General features: G+C 39.3%; 1 pseudogene; it reads right to left on the bottom strand.

Annotated features, from left to right (window-relative positions):
• Positions 8,106-8,206, bottom strand: RNU6-1071P (RNA, U6 small nuclear 1071, pseudogene; annotated as a pseudogene).

The following is a 9,753-nucleotide window of genomic DNA, read 5'->3' as shown; positions in this document are numbered from 1 at the left end:
AGATCCTGGGGATGGGGGAGGAATCCTGGAGCATTTCAAATTAAAGATCCCTAAGGTACTATGGGTGGAACCTACTAAGTAATATGACAACTTGTAGCAAGAGTCATAAGGATGATCACATCTTCAACTCAGTGATCCAATTCCTGGGAATTTATGTAAGGAAATAAGACAGGCAAAAAGTGTGAGTGGGAATGTTAATGAAAATATTACCTATAATAGTGCAAACAGGAACAACCTAAATCACCAAAATAGAAGCATGTTTTATGACATCATGGCATGTAAAGATGGCAGATTATAATACTAGCTTCACTGTCAAAATATACTCTGAATTGTATCACTTTTCACTGCATTCTGTATCACTCTGGATCAAGTCACTATTATTCCTCATCTGAATTATTGCAATGGCCTCCCAACTGGCATTTCTGCTTTCACCCTTGTTCCCCACCCCCGGTCTACTCTCAACACAGCACCCTTAGCAGTCCTTTAAAAACTTAAATGTAAAATTCATATGGAATCATAAAAGGGCCTAAATAGCCAAAGCAATCCTAAGCAAAAAGAACAAATCTGGAGGCATCACATTACCCAACTTCAAATTATACTACAAGGTTATAGTAATCGAAACAGCATGGTACTGATATAAAAGTAGATGCATAGACCAGTGGAACAGACTAGAGAACCTGGAAGTAAAGCCAGATACTTAGAACCAACTGATCTTCAACAAAGCATACAAAAACATAAATTGGGAAAAGGACACCCTATTTAGTAAATGGTTCTGTGAAAACTGGAGAGCCACTGGATAGAAGAATGAAACTGGATCCATCTCTCTCACCACATACAAAAATCACCCTAAGATGGAATAAAGACTTAAATATAAGACCTGAAACCATAACAATTCTAGAAGAAAACATAGGAAAAATTCTTCTGGACTTTGGCCTAGGCACAAAATTATGACTAAGACCCCAAAAGCAAATGCAACAAAAATTTAAACAAATAAACGGAACCTGATTAAACTAAAAGGCTTTTGTGCGGCAAAATATATAATCATCAGAGTAAAGAGAAAACCCACAGAATGGGAGAAGATATTTGCAAGTATCCATCTAAGAAAGGACTAATATCCAGGATCTACAAGGAGCTCAAACAAATCAGCAGGGAAAAAAAAACCAAATAATTCCATTAAAAAGTGGGCAATTTACATGAATAGATGCTTCTCAAAAGAAGATACACAAATGGCCAATAAACATGGAAAAAATTTCAACATCACTGAACATCAGGGAAATGCAAATCAAAGCCACAATGAGATACCACTTTACCCCAACCAGAATGGCCATTGTTAAAAATCCAAAAAGCGATAGATGTTGTCACAGATGTGGTGAAAAGGGAACACTTATACACTGCTAGTGGGAATGTAAATTAATATAACATCTATGGAAAACAGTATGACGATTTCTCAAAGAACTAAAAGTAGCAATCCCACTGTTGGGTATCTACCCAAAGGAAAATAAGTCATTATATCAAAAAGGAAAATAAATCATTATATCTGCACATGTATGTTTATCGCAGCACAATTGACAATGGCAAAGGTATAGAACTAACCTAAGAGCTCATCAACCAATTAGTGGATAAAGAAAATGTGGTATATACATGCCATGGAATACTACTCAGCCACAAAAAAGAATGAAATAATGTCTTGCACAACTTGGATGGAGCTGGAGGCCATTATTTTAAGTGAAATAACTCAGGAATGGAAAACCAAATGCCATATGTTCTCACTTATAAGTGGGAGTTAGCTAGGATTTATGTATTTTGCTCACTACTATATCCTCAGTGTCTTGACTATTCCTGGCACAGAGTAGCTGCTTAATAAATAATTTACTGAATGAGTGAATACATCCACAAAAGTAGTGATTATGAAAATTGGGTCATAATTTGAAAAGTGGAAAGTATGTTACTGTAAGCTGTGATGTGCACAGTGGCTGTGGCAATGTGGTGTAGCATAGTCTGGGAGCTGCAGATGAGAGAGATCTGGATTTGAATCCTGAGTCCACTACTTCCTAGTTATGTGAACTTCGGCAAGTGTACCTAACCTCTCAGTTTTATCATCTGTGGAACAGGTAGAATAATACCTCCTTCATAGCATGGTGAAAATTAAATGAGAAGATGTAGGAAAAACCTGGCACATAATAGGTGTTCTATGAACATTAACTCTCTCTCTTCTCCTAAAGAATATATACACAGTGGGTAAGAATTGCAAAATAATTGGGTGTTTCAAAGACAGGGATGATGCACTTTTATAAAAAAATTTTAATACACAAGTCCTCTCTAAGCATGGATATATATATAAAAACAGTGCCAGACTAGGAGTATGGAGACCTGGGTTCTGGGTTCACCTCTGATGCAGGCTGTGTGACATTAAGCAAATCCTAACCTCTTGGGACTGTCTTTTCATCTGCAAAATGAAGAGGTAGAATTTAGTAAGTTTGCGTCCCATCAATGCTTAAAATTCTATAATTCAGAAAGGCAGGCCATTCTACCTAGTTTCATCCCGCTTTAGCTCAGCCTTACTCAGATATGCTGGCCAGATGTTTCTAATCTTACACATAAAAGACTCTGGTATTCAGAGGCCAAAAGAAACTGGACAATTTAAGAAAAGTACTAAGCAGATGAGTTTTCCTTCTGTCTGATTCTTAAACAGCTACATGACAATTATTCAAACTTAAGAAAACAGGAAAAGAAAAGCAAGTATGCACATTTAGGTTTGAATCAACTATGTGAATATTTAGCCATGAAGAAAAATGTGTTTTTTTGTGTGTGTTTTATTAATTATTATTTGTACAACAACCAAAAAGTAGACGTCAGCAGTTTTCAACTGTAACTATAACCTTGTACCATGTGGCTGTGGGCCAAAGTGCAGGAGGGAGTAGCTGGAAGGGAATCTGGCTAGAGCCTTCCCCTGCTCTGGAAAGCTCGTGGCTTTGTTTTTTTCACATTGCTACACCGAGACGGAGGAGGGGAGGATGTTTGGGTTTACAGGCCACCAGCCACTGTCAGCAAGTTTGTAGCCCCAGCTTCACTTCCCTGAAAGGGCGGGGGAGTTTCAGCTGCCCTGGCCTCCCTCCAGCAACTGAGCCACAGAGGATTCAAATACCCCATCAGTTGCAAGGCCCTGACTTTACCCAGCTGAAAACTGACTATCTCATCTGGGAAGGGTCAGTTAAAAAATGACAGAACTGCCTAAAGTAAACAAAGGGAACAACCACAACAGAAACTTTCTCTGCAGTGTTTCCTTATAATTACCGGCCCATCCCACCAGGGCTCTGGCTTGAGTCCCCATCCACTCTCCCTGTTGCCCCCACAGGACCTTGTTTGAGTAAGCCCTAGCTGACCTGAGGATCGCCTCCCTGTCTACATGCCTCTGTCCCACCCTCTCCATGGAGGGGAGGGAGACTCCCGATTGCAGGAAGTTTTGAGAATGGAGTTTGAGGATTGTCAGGCAAAAAGACCCTCTAGAGCTCATTCATTAGGACCCCTAATAGATGAGTAAACAGCTTAAATGAAGTGCCTAAAGTTGAGAGCAAGTATGGGACAGAACTGGTTTTCTTCTTGCTAACCGAGTGCTCTTTCCAGTAATCATATACTGTTGTAAGGCACTAAAGATAAGGAAACTAACATTGAAGTTCTTTCTCCACCTTTTCATTCTAACCAAATCCTACTTTGTTGGACTTTTACACTTTATAGATAGGCTGGGCATGGTAGCTCACACCTGTAATCCCAGCACTTTGGGAGGTCGAGGTAGGTGGATCATAATGTCAGGAGTTCAAGAACAGCCTTGCCAATATGGTGAAACCCCATCTCTACTAAAAATAAAAACAAAAAAAAAATTAGCTGGGTGTGGTGGCGGGCGCCTGTAATCCCAGCTACTCAGGAGGCTGAGGCAGAGAATTGCTTGAACCCGGCAGGCGGATGTTGCAGTGAGCTGAGATCATGCCACTGCACTCCAGCCTGGCTGACACAGCGAGACTCAATCTCAAAAAAAAACAAAAACAAAAACAGAAAAACACGCTTTATAGATAAACATATTTTGAATTTAGACTTAAGGACAAGGACTAAATCTTACACTCTGTGTACCTTGTTCGTACTTCAGAGTTCATGAAGTGTGTTCATGGTCAGCAGCCAAGTAGAGCGGGTAGGACATTTGCTTCAGAGTTGAGCAAGCCTCAGAATCCCATCTCTGCACATTCTAGCTGTGTAAACTTGTAGGCAGATTACCTACTCTAAAACTTAGTTTCCACATTTGCAAAAGGGGAACAATAATAGCTCCACCTCATTATTTTGTCATGAGGATTTCATGAGATGATACATGTAATGCACATTGAAAAACTCAACAAATGTTAGAAATTGTAAATAGTTCTGGAAGGCATTTATCATTCCCATTTTACAGATGAGAAAATTAAAGCTCAGAGAGTTTAAGGGCTAGAGTCATACAATTGGTTAGTAAGATAGCTAGGATTTAGCTCAGCCTCCCAGCTCCATATCCACAGTACTTGCTGCCCCACCATTGAGTGTAGACAATTGGGGGTGGCTCTAAGCCATGGGCCAAGTATGTCTGTCCCTATCATCATGGAATGACATGTTATTTATTAAGCCCATATATGCTTGAGGTGCCAGGAAATGGATGCTTCTGGGGTGAGGTAGGCTCTTCATGTGCAGCCTTCATGTACAGATTCCAGCCAAGGAAACCAAGCCTGGCACTAATCCCTTGTCCAAGCCCAGAGACGCTGTGCCCACGGAGTAGGTCAGAAGTCCTTGAATATCCTCAGCTTTCCTTTCCTCTGGCAATGCTTCCTTGATGCCCTAAGAATATTTTGCTTACCCTGACATTAGAGCCCTCTTCACACTCCCAAGCTTTCTAGTATTTTGGGTGTGCATCTGATTCTCCTGTTGAAACTGGACTCCAAAGTGAAGTGCTCAAAATGGTACATAGAGGTATGAGAAAAACATATGTGAATACTTGCTTCTATTTATTTTTTAATCTAAAATATTAAGAAAATTAGGCTTTACTAATATTAAAATGTCACAGTAGAGTGTACGGAATTTATAGCAAACATGCAATTATTAGGCATGTATGCTGGTTTTCTTTTCTTTCTTTCTTTCTTTCTTTCTTTTTTTTTTTGATGGAGTGGTATGAAGAAAAGAGACTAGAGGTAACTGTTCTAGAAAGTAAGGTCCTACAGGCAGAAGATGTGTCTTTTTCTAATGTGTATTCCACCCCTCCCTCATTAGCACTAAATGACTCCTCCCTGATTAAATAAATTTGGCATCTATGTAAACTTGGTGGTCTTTCTTGTTTTTCCCCTCCTTTTGTCATCCATCTGATATAATGTCTTATTCAATATTCTCCCAAGACCTGAACAAATAATAAAGCTGTGTTAGTAAAGAGTGCAAATTGCCATAAAAAGACTGAAAAGTAAGATTCATAGTCCCCAAGGAGATGGTTAATGGTAGTCAATAAGGCATATAGCGGGCAAAAGAAAAGCTAAATGTAAAACTTCATGGAAGAACTCATGGACACAGTCAGGCAGGGAGCCCCAGCACTACAGCCTGAGAAATCAAATGTAATCTGAGCATATGTGTGTTTTCAAACTAACCACTGCCCTCTCTCTCCTCTGAAACTTGCAGAAAGCAATGCAACACAATGCAATGAGCCAGGGTCTTGGAGAAAGAAAGAAATCCCAACTCTGTCACTGTCCTGGTTGGGTGATCTTGGGCAAGGTCCATAATCACCCCCACTCCCAGGAAAAATAGTTCTTCACCTACAAATGAGGTTGAGCTAGATGATTTTGGAGGTTACTTTCATGCTTTGAAGCAGCCCATGTTTTCTTCCTGAGGCAATTTATACTTCAAGTGACACCATGAAGCTCACTGGACCAAAAATATCACCTTACCACCAAGCCTTTCATGGTTTGTGACATCCTCTCCTCAGGCACCGTGTCTCCATGCGGCGCTTCCCAACCTAGCAATAACTTACTGGCATGAATCCACTTCAAGTATCAGTTATGTCCATGATGCATGTAGAGTGGGAAAGCAAGATATGAAAGGTTATATATGTGGTATGCGTATGTCTATAAATACCTACAAATATATGTGCATACACATAGAAAAAGAACTGAAAGATACTCAGCATACTTTCAACACTGATTATTCCTAGGGAGTAGGAAAGCAAGATGAAGGTATGAATTTTACCATTTACTTTAAATCCTCCTATATTTTTGTTGTTTTTTAAAAATAAATGATTTTACTATTTACAAATAAAAATTTTAAAAAATAAACATTAAAGTCCTATACAAATGTTTAATAATATTTGTAATAAGTAGCACCAGTTTCTTCAAGAAGCCCTACCAGAAGCAAATCTGCATCTTGATACTGCATTAGAGCCTTGGCTGAAGTACTAATAATACCCGAACATTCTATGGAGGATTGGGCCCTGGACTGGGAGAACCTAATCACATAATCAGAAACTCTTATTGAGTAATTTTGGGCAACTTGAGTTTTCCCAAACTTTACTTGAGTTTGTTTTTCTCGACTAGAAAACAATGCTTTTGAACTAAATCCTCTATCGGGAACTTTCTACTCTGAAGTCCTGTGATTCTTAACAACAGTACATGCAAAAGACACAGGAAAGTGAGTATGTCATATGGCATCCAGGATACTTTCCCCCAAAGCAAAGTGAAAACTGATGTGAAACTCCTTCTTCCTTCCTTATTTTCCTCTCTCTCTCTCTCTCCACCTCTGTTATCTAAATGCTCTATATTTGAAGCATTCATCACTTTATAGGCCTTGATGGGATACAGAGGACAACCTTTTACTTTAGAAGCTGAAAATGTCAGATACTTGTTTTCCAGCTTCCCTTACAGGTATGCATAGGCATAAGGATCTGCATTGCTTTTTGACTCAGGAGCTAGTGACCTCAAATAGCAAAGACTGTTGAATCTGTTCTGCAGCAGGGAGTGGCATTAGTTGTAATAACAACATTCATTTTTTAGATGCTACAGTGGTGGTGGTTCTGGTGGTTCTAGCAGCAGGGACCAGCATCCAGGCTTGGGGCATTCACTGAGCAGTGGTTTCCATGCAGTGGGGGCATTGATGACTTCATGATATTGTTCTGCAGTACAATTTTAGGTGTTGCTTCTGGCTATGTAGCCTCTAAACCTGGGTTTCTAGTCCTCCTGGAGAGCTTGTGAACTACCTAATATTTTTTAATAAATTCATTTACCGCTTAGATTAACTACAAATTGTTTCTGTTGCTTGCGACCGAAAACATTTACTAATGTACCTATTATTTTTTTTAAAAATCATGCACTTGGAGATTATATATATATACACACACATATGTTTTTAAGGGAAAAAAACTCCCCTTCCCTTTGTTGATCCCTTATTTTCCCAGTTTCTTCTCTGGAGGTAGTAATAATGATTTGTTTCTTATGTATTCCTCCAGAGATATCTTGTGTGTACACAAGCACATCTATGTATTTAAGAAAAGTTACTTAAAAATCACTCAAATAGGATCACTCCATATACACTGTTCCATAATTTGCTTGTAACCTTAAGACTACATGTTAGAGATAATTCCATAAATATAAAGCTGCCTCATTCTTTTTCTTATTTTTATTTTTAGAGACAGGTCTTGCTCTGTCTCCCACGCTAGAGTGCTGTGGTGTGATTATAGCTCACTGCAACCTCTAACTCCTGAGCTCAGGGGATCCTCCTGCTTCAGCCTCCCAAGTAGTTGGGACAACAGGTACGTGCCACCACTCCTCGCTAATTTTTTATTTTTTGTAGAGTCAGGCCTTGCCATGTTGCCCGGGCTGGTCTCGAACTCCTGGCCTCAACTGATCTTCCCATCTTGGTCTCTCAAAGTGCTGGGATTACAAGTGTGAGTGACTGTGCCTGGCCTGCCTCATTCTTTTTATTGGCTGCTTAATATCCCTCTGAATGAATATACTGTAATTTATGTAGCCAATTTCCTCCTGTAAGCAGTTGGGTTGCTTACAGTTTTTGTGACTACAAATAATGCTGCAGTGAATATCGTTGTAAATATGTATTTTTAAAAAAATATGGAATGCTTCATGCATGTCATCCTTGTGCAGGGGCCATGACAATCTTCTCTGTATCCTTCCAATTTTAGCATATGTGCAGCTGAAGTGAGCAAGTAAATATGTCTTAATGCCCAGTGCAAGCAGATACATGTCTGATAGGGAAGTTGCAGCGTCAAAAGGTAAATGTAACTTTAACATTTTGATAGATAGCACCAAAATGCACTGCAAATTTAGTAACAATTTTTAATCCTACTAAAAATATTTTAGACTCCCCCCCACCAAATCTTTACGTCACCAGTGTATATTATCAGATTTTATAATTTTGCTGTTCTAATAGGTGAAAACTGATTTTCTCATTGTTCTGATTTTCATTCTTTAATTTATGAGTGAGGTTGAACATTTTTCATGTATTTAAAAGCCATTTGTAAGTATTCACCTGTGTAGTATATTCATGTCCTTTGCCTGTTGTTTTCTATTGGATTTTTATCTGTGTTTAATTGCTTTGTAAAAACTTCATCTTTTTTTTTTTTTTTTTTGAAATAGGTTCTTGCTTTGTCACCCAGACTGGAGTTGCAGTCTGGCACCCTCCTGACTTGGCCTTTTTTTTTTTTTTTTTTTGAGACAAAGTCTCACTCTGTTGCCTGGGCTGGAGTGCAGTGGCGCAATCTCAGCTCACTTCAACCTTCGCCTCCCAGGTTCGAGTGATTCTCCTGCCTCGGTCTCCCAAGTAGCTGGGATTACAGGCATGTGCTACCACTCCCGGCTAATTGTTTTGTATTTTTCGTAGAGATGGGGTTTCACCATGTTGGCCAGACTGGTCTTGAACTCCTGACCTCAAGTGATCTGCCTGCCTCGGCCCCCCACAGCACCCAGCCCTGCCTCAGCCTTTTAAAGTGCTAGGATGACAAGTGTGAGCCACTACACCTGGTCAAAATTCCATATTTTAAAGTAAATTTGCCTTTTGTCATACTTGTTGCAAAATTTTTTCCCAATTTGTTTTTGGTTTTCTGATCTTTTTAAATTTGATCTGATTTTTGGTTTTTGCTTTGCATAAATCTTTAATTTTCACAAAGCCAAATTTGTCTATATTTTTGCTTATGGCTCTGGATTTGTTTGGAATGGCTTTTGGCTGGGTAGCTTCTCATGGTTTCAACATTGAAGCTGCTAATTTAGAAAAACAATACTTGAGACTTCTGGTTAAAGACAGCAGATTAAACACATGCTCCACTCCCTCCTAGAACTCAACCAAAATTTAATGTTTTGATTAAGTGATACATTCACATGGTTTTAAAACCAGAAAAATACAAAGATGCACAGCCTGAAACGTTTCCCTCATCTATGTCTCCCATCAGCTCAGTTTCCACTTTCTCCCTGTCCAGAAATAAGGACTGTTATGCTTTCTTATGCGTGTTTCCAGAGTTTCTTTATGCATATGTAAGCAAGTAAGAATTTTGGTGAGTTTTTTTTAAGGAGAAACCTACAAGGACAAAAGAATATAAAAAGGACAAGAGTAAGAAAGATAATTTTAAAAGCTGGAACATAAGGCCGGGCACAATGGCTCACGCCTATAATCCCAGCACTTTGGGAGGCTGAGGCAGGTGGATCACTTGAGGTCAGGAGTTCAAGACCAGCCTGGCCAACATGGTAAAAACCCATCTCA

This window comes from Homo sapiens, chromosome 1 (assembly GCF_000001405.40).
Source record: "Homo sapiens chromosome 1, GRCh38.p14 Primary Assembly".
NCBI lineage: Eukaryota > Metazoa > Chordata > Mammalia > Primates > Hominidae > Homo > Homo sapiens.
Note: the sequence above shows the minus strand (reverse complement) of the source record. Positions and strands in the feature narration are given on the sequence as shown.